Here is a 14,725-nt window from a genome sequence, read left to right as displayed (position 1 = left end):
AAACTTAAAAATTGATTAAAATTTATCTGAAATATTTTATATGCTCTTTCAGGGAGCAAGCATGGAGTGGCCATTTACTCTTTTCTTAATGTCATATAATACTATTCTGAGCGCCATGCAGAAAGGACATGGGTTTTCTGTTTGGTATTTGTTTTCCAAACTAAGTTTTTTGTTGTTTCTTCCTTTTAAAGTGCCACATCCCTAATTCGGGTATTCTTTCGTTGTTGTTTTTGTTGTTCTTGTTGTTGTTTTGAGATGGAGTTTTGCTCTTGTTGCTCAGGCTGGAGTGCAATGGTGTCATCTCGGCTCACTGCAACCTCTGCCTCCCAGGTTCAAGCAATTCTCCTGCTTCAGCCTCCCAAGTAGCTGGGATTACGGGCATGCCTCACCATGCCTGGCTAATTTTGTATTTTTCATAGAGACAGGCTTTCACCGTGTTGGCCAATCTGGTTTCGAACTCCTGACCTCAGGTGATCCACCTACCTCAACCTCCCAGCGTGCTGGGATTACAGGCGTGAGCCACCGTACCCAGCCTAATTCTGGTATTCGTGATCAGTTTAAATGTTTCATAATTTAAGGTTTCTGGTAGTACTTGTGATAATGCTTTAAGAGGTTCATAAACTCAGGCACCAATAGGAGACATTTGGCTCTCTGCCATCTTCTAGCAAACACTTGACCACAGCCTCCTTCTACAAAGGAAACCCTGTCCTTGGTTTGGAGTTAGCACTTTCAACAGTGAGGCCCTATTACTGCTGCTTCCAAGTACTCACTCCTTATTAGCCTTTGCTAGTGGTGCAAAAATGTCTGTATTCACCCTACATGCTTCTTCTGAACATCTGTAGTATCAAGGTGACCACTTGTAGCTTTCTTTGACTATTGCTGAAATGGGCAACTAGTATATTCCCTTTATATTTTAGCAAATTCCACCATAGCAGTGAAGTGGTTTTTTTTTTCTTTTTCTTTTTTCAACCTCATGCTTATTTGTTTCAAGCAGTTTTCTAAAACAAAACTCAAGCTCAGCCAAAGTATTTGAACTGTTCTTTAATGTGCTATATGCCATTTGGTTTGAATCATATATTTAAATACCAGCTTCTCCCCATTTACTTGTATCTAATAGGAATCATCTTTCTTCCAGATTGTGCTTCAAGAAGACCATAGGGAAGAACGCATTTTCATCTTGCTGCAAAAGTTGCAATAGAAGTAAGTGGGGGAACTGCCAGGATATGTCTGTCTCCACAAAACAAGCAGAACAAATTTCCGTGAATCAAAGCCACTAAGTATAGTTTTCAGAGATGGTAGGACATAGTTATTTTCCCTAGAAAAACACCCCAAATGCAGGCACACCCATTGGCCAGCAGAAAAAATGCTCACGTAAATGCTAGTTCAAACCTGTACATTTCACTCTTCTTACTGAGCTGTCAGAGGGGTGGAAATCTACTATAGCTATAATCTTTTTTTCCCCTTTTCTGTTTTTCAGCCTCCCACATGCTTAGTGTTCAGTTCTGCCTACTGAGCGTCTTGAATCTATAGGAGCATCTACATGTACTGCCTCCATAGTGGCTGATAATTTGCAGATAACTCGTGAACCAGACCCATAAGAAACATCATGATATGTACTTTAGATTAATCATGGAAAAGGACAAGATGATGAAGAATCAGAAAGCAGTTTTCTTTTCCAATATTTATATTGCTTTCTTTGAGGTTAGATGAGTGAGATATTCTTTAGAGTGGTTTATATCACATTTCATCACTTGGGGAAATAGGTCATTTTTACAAGAGCCTTTTAGAGACCTTTTAAGTACATACAGGGCATATATTTAATACACCTTAGCATTTCCTCTGAGTAAGTCAGAGGAAATAAAGCAAGATGGTAGATATCTACGATGTGATCAAGTAAGCAAATTAATGTTAAACTGCTTATATTCTGTCTTGAAACCCTTGGTATAATTTTCAAAATTGCCTTTTATTGTTCTTTCAGTTACTTTCTAGCAATTTCCATCATTTGAAGGATTAATGGCTACCACTTTGTTGAACCTAGAGGGTGTCTGTGAACTTATTGAACACTACCTTATTAGAGCAGAAGTCTCCAGTGGACCATGAACTCTGCATGGCTGGGACTCTGAACTTACCTCTTACTCACAAAACCTGCAGGGCTCTCAAATTAATGTTTAAAATGCAAGCTACTGACAAGGAATGGGTAAACATCCACTGCAATTTCAAACACATATGTATATCCACTTTCCTCATCTATTCCTGGTGGGTAGGGGATCATGATTGAAAATTACTGAACTTAAAATGGTAGAAAATTTGAAGCGATCCTTTCTACTTAAGTAGAGTGATTTATACTAATGGTGGGATGGGCTAAATACCTTCTTGCTATTTGTAGTCTACTGTGCTTCACATGCATTTTCTAATTTTATCTTAACACATGTCTGAGGTTAGTACTGTTGTCTCTATTTTGGAGATGATGAGACTAAGTCCTACAAAATTAGGTAACTTGTCCAAGGTCATACAGCTTGGAAGTGACAGAGCTGAGGTTCAAACATGTATGTCCTTGATCCTAGGATTCATGCCTTTTCCATCTGAGGACGACCACTGATTCTTATTTTGCATATAAATGAAATATACACACACAGTCCCCCACAGCCCCCCCCCGCCCACATAATATATAGATTTATATTCCCCCATCCTCCCAAATGCTCATTGGAAAATTTAGACATCAAAAGGAAGCCTTTTTGCTTTGAAATGCAATTTAAGTAGCCATTACTTTGAACAAAGTGTAGTTTTATTAGTGAAGAACATCATTGAGTCATTGAGACTAATAATTTTGTGGAACAACATTATTAAGAAAAGCATTATGCTATTTAATGAGTGATATTTACTTAAGTCATAAAGGAAAATTCAAACATCTGGAATATTTTTTAAGCAATATAGCATTTATGCATGGAATGATGTTTTTCCCCTATGTCTTACAGGAAATAACATATAATTTGAGATGTATATTAGAGATTTTATGTTCATAGATATCTTTTTATTTCACTGAGCACATTAACAAAAATTATATTCAAATGAAAAATGGCTTGATAGCTAATTCTCTGTGATGAAATTTTATCATGTCTTTAGTAACCCCATTATTGCTACTTTATCCCTCTTAATAGGTTGCTTGTCTAAAGAAAGGTTGTAGAAACCTTACTGGTTCACACACATACAACTTTACCACATTGTTTTGGTGTTCCATTTTGGGGTGATACATTGACAAGTGTGGGGAAGTGATCAAAGTATGTGTAGTGTCTCAAGAAATTGCTTCCTAAAGTTTTTAACACTAGAAAATAGAGATTTGCATTTGGTTGATATGCCTTCTTTTAAATACGTATTCACTAGGGGCAGTTATACCTGATGAATTTAAAGATGGAGTAATACAAGAGTTACAGAATCACAGAATTTCTGAACCAGAAAGGGCCTTATAAATGAAGGACTCTTGAAGTGAAAGTCGTCATTAGAAGATGAGTTCAGTGACTGTCCAAGACTAGAGCTCTAAGTCAAGTAGTTTCTGAGATTACTGAGTTAGGCTTACAGCCGAACAAACCAGGAAGTGAGTGATCACAGCAGGTGAGGGCTTTCAGCTTTCTGATGTTGGAGAAAAAACTAAGAGTCATAGTGGAGACAATCTTATGACATGAGGAAAACAAATCAGAAAAATAAAGACACCTTTATTTCTTCTTATTAACACAAATGATATAAAACTTTAAGTGTTATATACTTATTTAAATAATGGGATAAGCCTATTTTGAAAAATAACACATTGCTAAATTATTTGTATTTTCTGAGTATGAAATTTGAACTTATTTTTATTAAAAATTTTATACATGTATGTAATGGAAAAAATATACATTTTTTGGTTGTTATTTAGGATCTGAAGGTTTGAATGGGCCAATGAGTATCCTCATCATTGAAGCATTCTATGGAGGCTCCCATAAACAGCTGGTGGATCTTCTTCAAGAAGAGTTAGGAGACTGTGTCGTTTATACCCTTCCTGCAAAGAAATGGCATTGGAGAGCCCGGACATCTGCTTTATATTTCTCTCAGACCATTCCCATCAGTGAGCATTACAGGTAATTAGAGCTCAGGATGCATTTTCAGCGTTTTTTAAAAAGTACCTGTTATGAGGATGTTGCTTCTCCATCAGTATCTTTGAGAATTTCTCCAACTATGGAATTGGTTATTATGACTATAGTAGATATTTCTTTAGAGAGAGCAGAGCAGTGGAGTATACTCATCCTCTAAGGACACCTGGTCAGTAGGAAAGAAGCTTCATTTAGAACCAACCATATGTGTTTTCTCATTGTCTTGTGATTTCATTATGTATAGGGGTATGGGTATGGGTAACAATTTTTGGCCTGAGAGAACAGTAGATCTTCTAGTTTGGTTCATTGTATCTGCTCTGTACTAGGAACCAGAGTTGAAAGGTGGATACGTCCAAGGCTTTAAAGTCTGTTGAGGTAGAGATAGGCAAGTGCAATGAGAGGTGAAAGATGGAGAGGTTGATTTGGATTGTGACAAACTGGAAGTGGCTTTGTAGAGTTGGTAACCTTTGACTTATTCTTGAAGGGTGAGTAGATTTGAGGGGCACAGAACTCAATTCTGAATTCTGGTTTGTTAGGAAGTAGGAACTAGGAGGACCTATTAGAAAGCGTCTCATGAGCTGGGCCAGTGGCATGTGCCTCTGGTCTCAGTTACTCAGGAGGCTGAGGTGGGAGGATTGCTTGAGCCTGGGAGTTCAAGGCTGCAGTGAGCCAGCCACTGCACTCCAGCCTGGGCAATAGAGTGAGACCCCCATCCCTAATAATAATAACAATAATAATAATAATAATTTAGAAAATAAAAGAGTCTTATGGGACACACTGAAAAGATGGAGGTAAATACTCATTACATTTTTACTGAGGGAACAGGTAGGATGGAATCCCCTTGAACATCTCTTCCTCCTTATTCTCCATTTGTATGTATTCCTGTGTATTCTCCTGATGGTTAAATCGTGGAAGACTATCCTATGGTGGTTAACATAGCTGATGTTCTTGCCGTTTATTAACACAAATGATATAAAACTTTAAGTGTTATATACTTTTTTAAATAATGGGATAAGCCTGTGTGTAGGACTGCATTGGTTTGGGCAGGAATGAACAGTTCTGGGCTGATAATGAATGGAGTTAGAGCAGATAGGTTCTTAGAGGAAGGGCATGTTGGAAGCTCCAATGCCCATCTTGCCTCCAGTACCTCTACCCATCTGCTGCTTCTAAAGTGGCCACAGGAGACATAGCAGCTTGTGACTTAAATGTAGCTTGCTGTTCCTAGTAGGAACTTGAGGGATTCAGAGAGTAACGATTTTCTGTATGAAAATTATGTATCGTCTCTGAGAATGCATAGTGTCAGATGGAATAGCAGTGAGCATTCCAGTTACATGGCTTAGGATTTTAAAGGTAAAATGCTGTTTTAGTGCGTATTCAGAATTTTGTATTTTTTTCGAATTTAAAGTGTATCCTTCTTTACATGATTTAATGTTTTATATTCCGATATCACTAAGTGAATATTGTTGATTCACTAATAGTATGAGGAATTTCAATGAACATGATGATATAAAAGTTGTAAAGGCAATGATAAGACTATTGCTGTGTTAAAATATGACTGTTTATGGTTGCTTTCACATCTCATTTAATTGTGTTTTTGCAGCACCAATTGTATTATATTACTTAAGGTCAAGTAATCCAGTTGACTTTATGGCACTTTTTCATTTAACAGTGCCATTCAGTATAATAAATTTCTACAGTGATTTGAACATTAAAATGAGCCATTTCTATATCTGTTGTTTGATTTCATTTTGATTATGCAGTTTTTCAGAATTACATTATTGTATCACAAATATATGTGTGTGATAGCATGCAAACACTTCTGTGCATATGGCTTCCCTACTCTCTTTGAAGCCTGAAGCATTTGAGGGTAAGTGTCACAGCATTTGAGGATAAGTTATTTGGGAGGTGGATATCTGAAAGATGGTGATATAAAGCCTTACTCTGCGATAGCCATAACCTCCACCGCCTAACAATGGTATCTGTCATCTCTCAAGGTATGCCATTTAGCCTTTGCAGTTAACTATACTAATCTAATCAGTCTTTAACCCAAAGACATGCCTCACCAGTTTAACTTATATTTGAGCAATGATAACTTCTCTACTCTTTACCAAGTAACTTTTTTGAATACTTTTAGAAAAATAGCAGTAGCATGAAAACTTGATAGCATGATACTAAGTTTACAAATGCGTGCATTCAATCCTAGATTGAAGTGCAAGAGTAACCTTTTGCTACACTAAATAAGTCTGAGCTCTGTGGAGATTTTTAAAGATATGAAAAATTTTTGCTTTCCAGTTGTTACTCTTTTTGTATATTTAGTGCATGAAATCATTAAACTCATAAAGGTAAAATGATTAAGCACCAATATTGCCTACTATGCAAAATACTCTGAACAAATACGAGTGTGTCTGATGAGAAAGACTTTGAATGTAGATACATATTGGTGTTTTTCTCAGCTTCTGAACATGTATTGTTGCTATTATAAGCTTACTCTCTGAAAAGTATTTTATTATTAAAAGAATAAATGCTTCAGCCTAATTAATCAGTTTGATTCTGCTTTATCTTGACAACTAAAAGAATATATCATGATTCATGTTAGAGCTGTTTAGTTTTATTATAGATTACGAAAGCTCAACAAGTTATTTTGTCAAAAGTAGTCAATAGTTATTGTTATTCTTAGATTATATTATAGCTTTGCCTTAGAAACTTCACAGGATACAGAAAAAAGTTTTGAATGTGGAGCTTGAGGGAAGGCATTAACTTTTGGGTTATGAAATGTTAATCATTCGTTCCAGGATGAAGCATTTCTACTTTCTTAGACTGCACCCTAAACTAGGTATCGAGGATATTTTATTCACTTTTCATTCTGTAGTGTCTTTAGTGAAGTGAAAGAATCTCTGTTATTTAGAAATCATTTTTTCACCCTCAGGTGCTTACAATTACATTTTTTGTTTCATCTGAGGTATTGTGACAGATACTGATCATTGCCCACTTAACGGCCCTTCTTCCTTGTTAACAGAATCACAGTTTTCTTTAGGATGGATAGGTATCCAGCCCTTGGGAGTGAAGCAACATTGACTTAAATTAGTTAGGATGATCCCATTCTCCTTTGCCAAATTTTCCCTACTCTCCTTGCAGCTTGGGTTGATCAGTCTCCAAGTTGTGGCAAATTAGAGTTAAGTGGGTGACTTCTGGGAGTTCTTCCAGCAAAGTGGTTTGATTTTAAATTTTACTTATAAAAGAAGAAGGCCAACTCCCCTTTCCTACATTTGACTGGTTGTGATGTCCGCAACCATGAAGTACAAGCATGAGGACAGAACCCCTGGATTGCCATAAATGGCTGATGGGAGGCTGCAAAGTGCCTGGATTAGTGGTGGATATGTGATTTGAGTTCAAGTCTGGCCACCTGCAAAGACTATATACTATTCGTTCTTCTTCTTCTTTTTTTAATTATACTTTTAAGTTTTAGGGTACATGTGCACAATGTGCAGGTTTGTTACATATGTATACATGTGCCATGTTGGTGTGCTGTACCCATTAACTCGTCGTTTAACATTAGGTATATCTCTTAATGCTATCCCTCCCCCCTCCCCCCACCCCACAACAGGCCCCGGTGTGTGATGTTCCCCTTCCTGTGTCCATGTGTTCTCATTGTTCAATTCCCACCTATGAGTGAGAACATGCAGTGTTTGATTTTTTGTCCTTGCAATAGTTTGCTGAGAATGATGGTTTCCAGCTTCATCCATGTCCCTACAAAGGACATGAACTCATCATTTTTTATGGCTGCATAGTATTCCATGGTGTATGTGTGCCACATTTTCTTAATCCAGTCTATCGTTTTTGGACATTTGGGCTGGTTCCAAGTCTTTGCTATTGTGAATAGTGCCACAATAAACATACGTGTGCATGTGTCTTTATACCAGCATGATTTATAATCCTTTGGGCATATACCCAGTAATGAGATGGCTGGGTCAAATGGTATTTCTAGTTCTAGATCCTTGAGGAATTGCCACGCTGACTTCCACAATGGTTGAACTAGCTTACAGTCCCAACAACAGTGTAAAAGTGTTCCTATTTCTCCACATCCTCTCCAGCACCTGTTGTTTTCTGACTTTTTAATGATCATCATTCTAACTGGTGTGAGATGGTATCTCATTGTGGTTTTGATTTGCATTTCTCTGATGGCCAGTGATGATGAGAATTTTTTCACGTGTCTGTTGGCTGCATAAATGTCTTCTTTTAAGAAGTGTCTGTTCATATCCTTCGCCTACTTGTTGATGGGGTTGTTTTTTTCTTGTAAATTTGTTTGAGTTCATTGTAGATTCTGGTTATTAGCTCTTTGTCAGATGACCAGATTGCAAAAATTTTCTCCCATTCTTTAGGTTGCCTGTTCACTCTGATGGTGATTTCTTTTGCTGTGCAGAAGCTCTTTAGTTTAATTAGATCCCATTTGTCAATTTTGGCTTTTGTTGCCATTGCTTTTGGTGTTTTAGACATGAAGTCCTTGCCCATGCCTATGTCCTGAATGGTATTGCCTAGGTTTTCTTCTGGGGTTTTTATGGTTTTAGGTCTAACATTTAAGTCTTTAATCCATCTTGAATTAATTTTTGTATAAGGTGTAAGGAAGGGATCCAGTTTCAGCTTTCTACATATGGCTAGCCAGTTTTCCCAGCACCATTTATTAAATAGGGAATCCTTTCCCCATTTCTTGTTTTTGTCAGGTTTGTCTATTCGTTCTTCTTAAGCCCATTGTCTTAACAACTATTCTGTCTTCATTCCAGTTAAAACATGGTAAATTATTTAATTAAATTAAACCTAAATATGTCTTGATTAAAATATATATTATTATATTTTACAATTAGAAGTAGGTATGGTACTTCTCCCAGTCTTGAGACATATTACAGTTCTTGATTCTTGTTGGAGGCTGGAGGGCCAGACACCAGGTGCTTTTCTGGGTCTGTGAATCTGTGATGTTCTCTTAATCTTCAGAAGTCACAGTTCATTTGAATTTTCCTCTTTTGAGGTCTTTGTATCATTCAGCCTACTAGCTTCGCCATCCTGTACTGCCTTGTTGTGGGTCTTCTTTTGGTTTGTTTCTGTACCAGTCTTGCTGTCCTGTCTAGCCAGCACACACCGCGGCCTAGTTCTAGACTTGCATGGCCCTTAGGGCTTCTTCCACAGTATTTCATCTCACTGGAGTTTCTTCTGATTGACAGGATTGTTTAATTTAGGCATGCTGACTTTATGTTGAAAATGTAGCTGACCACAAATCTACTGAAATAGGATAATCCTGCAAACCAAATAACCAACCATTTGGTCAGTCCCTGCCTCTTTCTGTCTCTTTGCTCTCTCCCCCACTCTTCTGTTTCTCATATGCGCATACATGTGTGCGTGCGCACGTGCACACACACACACACACACACACACACACACACACACACACTCTTCATTGTAAAACTAGAACTTAAACCTGTCATCATTGTCCCTAAAGGATGGTTTCTAGGCTTCATCTTTTCCATGTTTCTTTGTGTTCCTTTGTCAGTGTTTTCAAGATGAAAATATTCCAGTTAGAAGGGGAACAAAGTTTTCTTGTTATGGAGTTTATAGTTTATTCTTACCACAGGTTGCCAATTCAAAAGTGTTTGTGTAGTTAGTAGCATGCACTGTGAAACCACTGTTTCCCAGGAGTTAAGCGCTTCAGTGCAACTTCAAGTAGACACTTTTAATATCCTTTCTAGCTTATTTTAAAAAATAAAATATTACACGTAAGGTTCTATATGGCTCCCTGGATACAAGACATTATTCCTAACAGACTCTGCTTTAAAGACCTCTAGGATAAATCTCCTGTATATTTGCCCTTTAAAGTTCGACAACTGTGTTTTAAAAGACAAGCTGGATGTTTATTATACTTTTACAGAGGGAAGACAATCATTATTTTTAATGAATGGAATGGAAAATAAACGGGGAAAAAAACTCATCCCCAAATGGATGCAAAATATGCTATATAAAAGACCTCTGACTATAGAATAAGGAGCATCATAGTTTTGCTTTTGTAATTAATGTGCTTGTTTTTAACATAATGATTGAGACTATTAGTCTGATTTTAGAGCACTTCTTACCTAGTTGCTTTTAAGTGTTTAGTGTCTTCATGGTTAGTTCTCCATATGACAGGAAAAAAATTAGAAAAATAAAAGATGTATTTAATTCTACTTTCATCTCCAACATTTATTTGTTTATAGGAGAAAGATTTTCTGCTTTTATTAAGGTCTTAGTCAATATGTTTACTTTTGCTACTGTCTCTGATTTCCTGTACATGGGGCCTCTAGAGCTACGATGCAGATACTCTGTTGCCCTTTCCTTTCCTTATCCTTTCTTTAGGCAGCTTTCATGCTTTCTTGTTTTCTTGGGGTCACATTTGGCCAACTACCCTCTTTGGGGCACATTGTCCTTTCCATTAATGACTAATTCTTGTTCATCTTTCCTTTATTTATACTATTCTGTTGTTCAGGCCCTGGTGTTTGTTCACATCATGGACCTGCTGGTCTTCTGAGCTGCCATCCCACAAAGATGACTGCAAGGGGAGAGTAGGAGCTGAGTCACAGATGCTGCTCACAAAAGTGCAGTCATTTCATCCTTATGTCTTTCTAAAGAACTTAATTCTGTATTTCAGTGAATTTTTTCCTAAAGTCTCTGCTATGTTTTCCTTTGTTCACCATCTCATGCTGATAATAAAAATGTAACACTCCCCTTCTTTAGGAGAAATTCCTGGTTGAATATGTGTAGTTGAGAGAGCATTGAGGGGTGGGATGGCTTGGTCAAAATTCCTCCAGACTAGTTATCTTTTGGTTCTTTTCTAAGCTTGTTTTCATTATTCTTTTCCATCATTAGTATTTATTAAGAGCTTTTATGTTAAAAGCCAGTGCCTATGCTAGCACTGGTGATACAAAGCCAAACTTGACAAACATGGACATATGGCGCTAGCACACAGCAAGCACTTAGTGAACCCTTTGTTGATTGAAAGAAAGCTTAGTGCCTATATCCATTTGCTGATACTTGTAACCTTGATTAAATAATCCCTGATTGAAAGCCATCCGTGATTTCCTATTGCCTATGTAAAATCCAGAGTATGCACAGGGTTGCTGTGGTCCACGCAATCTGGGCGCTGTCTGCCTCTGCAACATCATCTCCTCCCCTGTCTTCTCGTTAATGTGCTGTGGCAGCACTGGCCTTGTTTACTCACTTTGAAACATCAAGCTTTTTCCTGCCTCAAGTCCTATTACTGCTTGCTGGTCCCTTTGTTGGCAATACTTACTCATGCCCCCAACCCACACCCCTTGTTCTTCATGGCTTTCTCAAGTCAGCTAAAGTTTCGTCATTTCAGAGAGTCCTTTCCTGAGCACCCGATCTAAAATGAGACCTCTATTTTAGCACTCTTTTTCTGCCTCTGTAATAACATTTTATATAACCTGTAATAATTTTGTTTGCTTGATTTTTTTCTCCCCATTTTATTCTAAGCTTTATGATGACAAGAGTCATATCTATCTTGTTTATCGTTTTATCCCTAATACCTAGTATGCCACCTAGCAGATAATAGCTGCTTAGAAAATGTGGTCGAAGGAATGAGTTATTAGAGTTTGAAAAATATGGTTGCCATTCACTTTGTTAATTTACTTACTTTTTTCCTGCTCTGCGCACTACCGGTATCCTCTGCCTAAAGATATCATCTCTTCTACATAGAAACACAGAAACAAGTCACTTAAGGGCTGGTGTTACTCAGTTTTACTGGATTAAACCAAAGAATTCCATACACATTTTTTTCACTTTCATGGGTTATATTAATCAGACTATGAAAGCTGCCATTTTCTGTTATGTAAATTTTGACAAAAGAAAATATGATTTTCTGGAATTTCCCTTGTATAAAAGTATTTCTAGAAAAAAAGTTTCTTAGTTCAGGAAACATTAGTCTAGAACAAGCTTGTCTAGCCTTTGGCCCAGGACAGCTTTGAATGCGGCCCAACACAAATTCTTACATTTTCTAACTTTCTTAAAACATTATGAGATTTCTTTTTAAGCTCATCAGCTATTGTTATTGTTCGTGTATTTTATGTGTGGCCCAAGACAACTGTTTTTCCAACATGGCTGAGAGAAGCCAAAGATTGGACACCACTGGTCTAGAACATGCCTGTGATATTGTGTAAAATTTCATGTGATTGTATTTTAAGGCTTTTTAGTTTTGACAGTGGCCACCCATGAACAATGACTTTTAAATTTATGGAAGAGACACTATCAGAATAAATGACAGATTAGAATTTGGCCCAAAGAGGTATTTTGCTTGGATACTGCAATTGTTTAAACTTTTTTTTAAATTAATGCTTTTAGACAGATAGACATTCTTCATTTTGGTCACAAATACTACTGGTCACCATTATTTTATAACAGCCTACTTTTCACATTTATGTTGCTTAACTGGCCCATTTAGGCCTTTGTGTTTGTAGCCCCTGGCTTAGAATCTGCCCCACAAAAATGAATCTTTAACTGATCTTTAATAAAATATTTTAAATTGTATATATACATAAAAGAGTTTACCAAAAGAATAATAATCACTTGTGTTTGAAAGAAACAACATACTATGGTAGGAGAATCAGCAGTCCTGGGTTTTAATCTCAGCTCTGCCATTAATTATTTGGCCTGAAAAAAATCACTTTGGAGTATTAGTATTAACTTTTGAGTATGTAATATTATTTTTTTCATTTGTAACTGAAGGTTTATGATTTATCTGTTCCTAAGTTTTATGATGTCATGAACAAAGAATTAACATCAAGATCAAGATTTAAGGAATTTGTCATGTCTCTCATTCAACTTTGTCAGCTCATTCACTGCTTCATTTAACTTAACTTTTTCCTAGGCTTATTTGTACATCTCCTTGAATTAAAATATATATATATTCAACTTTAATTTTTAGAGCTAGAGATTTTTGGGGAATAAGTGTTAACAGTGCTTCTATCTTCAGAGTCACTCTAATATGACTTCTTATTTGTTCAGATTTCCTTTTTCAGCCTCAGCCCTTCATGATTATTTGCCTTTTCAAAGAGAAGGCATTTGACTGTCATGTTAGCTATCTCTCTCTACAGGACATGGGACATAGGACATGTATGTATACTATATACTCATGATATTACTGTAGAACTCACACAGAATACTCAGTTCTACAGGAGGGCAGTATTCACTAAAGAAGTTCAGTAGAAGGCTGAGCACGGTGGCTCACGCCTGTAATCCCAATACTTTGGGAATCCGAGGCGGGCGGATCACCTGGGGTCAGGAGTTCGAGACCAGCCTGGCCAACATGGTGAAACCCTGCCTGTACTAAAAATACCAAAAATTAGCCGGGCGTAGTGGTGGGCACCTGTAATCCCAGCTACTGAGGAGGCTGAGATAGGAGAATCGTTTGAACCTGGGAGGTGGAAGTTGCAGTGAGTCGAGCTTGTGTCATTGCACTCTAGCCTGCGCAACAAGAGTGAAACTCCATCTCAAAAAAAAAAAAAAAGTACAGTACAGAGAAGTGGGTTTAATTCTTGCTTAGCAAATTCTGACATAGATCTAAGGGGATGTTAAAGATTTTGGTAAATAGAGATGAAATGGAAGAGCACTGTAGGAAAAGGAAGTATTGTGAACAAAAGTTCACAGGAAAAATAGAGAAATGTTTGGAAACTTTAAAAGCTTAGTTTAGCATGAACATATTCTGAGTTAGGAGGAGTTATGGGAGATCAGGTTGAGTGACAGACAAATTTTTTTCTAGTTCATATGCATTCTTAAATTCAAGATTAAGAATTTGTAGAGCTTTTACTATAGGTGATGGGCAGCATTGGAAAGCTCTGTTGCTCTGGACTCTTTTGTGCGATACAAACTCAATTCAAAATCACATAAACATGAAAGCAAATGTAATTGAGTCGTGTAACTGAAAGTTTTAGGGTGGTTGGCTATTGGCAAGCTGGATCCCGAGATGTCATTTGTTCTCCTGCGTCCTTGACTCTTCTTTCCTGTGTTTTGGCTGTATGCTGGAACAGGCTCTTACCATATGGATCACTCCCAGAGCTAAGCTTATATTCCACCAGCTTAGTTGCATTATCTGCGAGTACCTCTTTTTTCAGAAGCTCTAACAAAGTCTTGAGATGAACCAACTGTACCTTTTTGTATCATGTGGCCTTTGGACTTGTTAATGAAGCAAAAGGCATCTGATATCATGTTTGGCAAGGCCTATATTACATCATCACTTTGGAATCAGGAAGTGGAGTCAACCCCATTCAAACCACGTGAATTGAGTACAAGAGAGCAAAAGGAAAATTACATTACATTGCTGGTATTTTGTTTTTTTTTTTTAAACAAAGTCTTGCTCTATTGGAGTATAGTAGTACAGTCATAGCTCACTGCAGTCTTGAACTCCTCAGCTCAAATGATCCTCCCACCTCAGCCTCCCGTACTAGCTAGTACAGGTGTGTGCAACCATGCCCAGATACTTTTTAGTTTTATTTTGCAGAGACAGTGTCTTGCTGTGTTGCCCAGATTGGCCTTGAACTCTTAGCCTCAAGTTATCCTCCCACCTTGGC

At 37.3% G+C, this 14,725-nt stretch overlaps 1 protein-coding gene across 64 annotated transcripts in view; it reads left to right on the top strand.

Annotated features, from left to right (window-relative positions):
- Positions 1-14,725, top strand: part of QTMAN (queuosine-tRNA mannosyltransferase) — a 395,002-nt gene that overhangs the window by 120,355 nt on the left and 259,922 nt on the right. For 53 of the 64 annotated variants that reach the window (NR_164800.2, NR_164799.2, NR_164804.2 and 50 more), the window contains 2 exons: positions 1,136-1,200; positions 3,911-4,112. The exons of 1 other annotated variant lie outside the window; for it this stretch is intronic. Coding sequence is in view for 44 of the 63 variants with exons in the window: in NM_001376325.2 (NP_001363254.1) it covers positions 3,934-4,112 (179 nt within the window). In the remaining 19 variants the exon portion in view is untranslated. 10 more of the 64 variants (XM_047445841.1, XM_047445843.1, XM_047445842.1 and 7 more) reach the window with 7 other exon arrangements.

This window comes from Homo sapiens, chromosome 2 (assembly GCF_000001405.40).
Source record: "Homo sapiens chromosome 2, GRCh38.p14 Primary Assembly".
Classification (NCBI taxonomy): domain Eukaryota; kingdom Metazoa; phylum Chordata; class Mammalia; order Primates; family Hominidae; genus Homo; species Homo sapiens.
The sequence above is the reverse complement of the archived record's forward strand: the minus strand, read 5'-3'. Positions and strand labels throughout refer to the sequence as shown.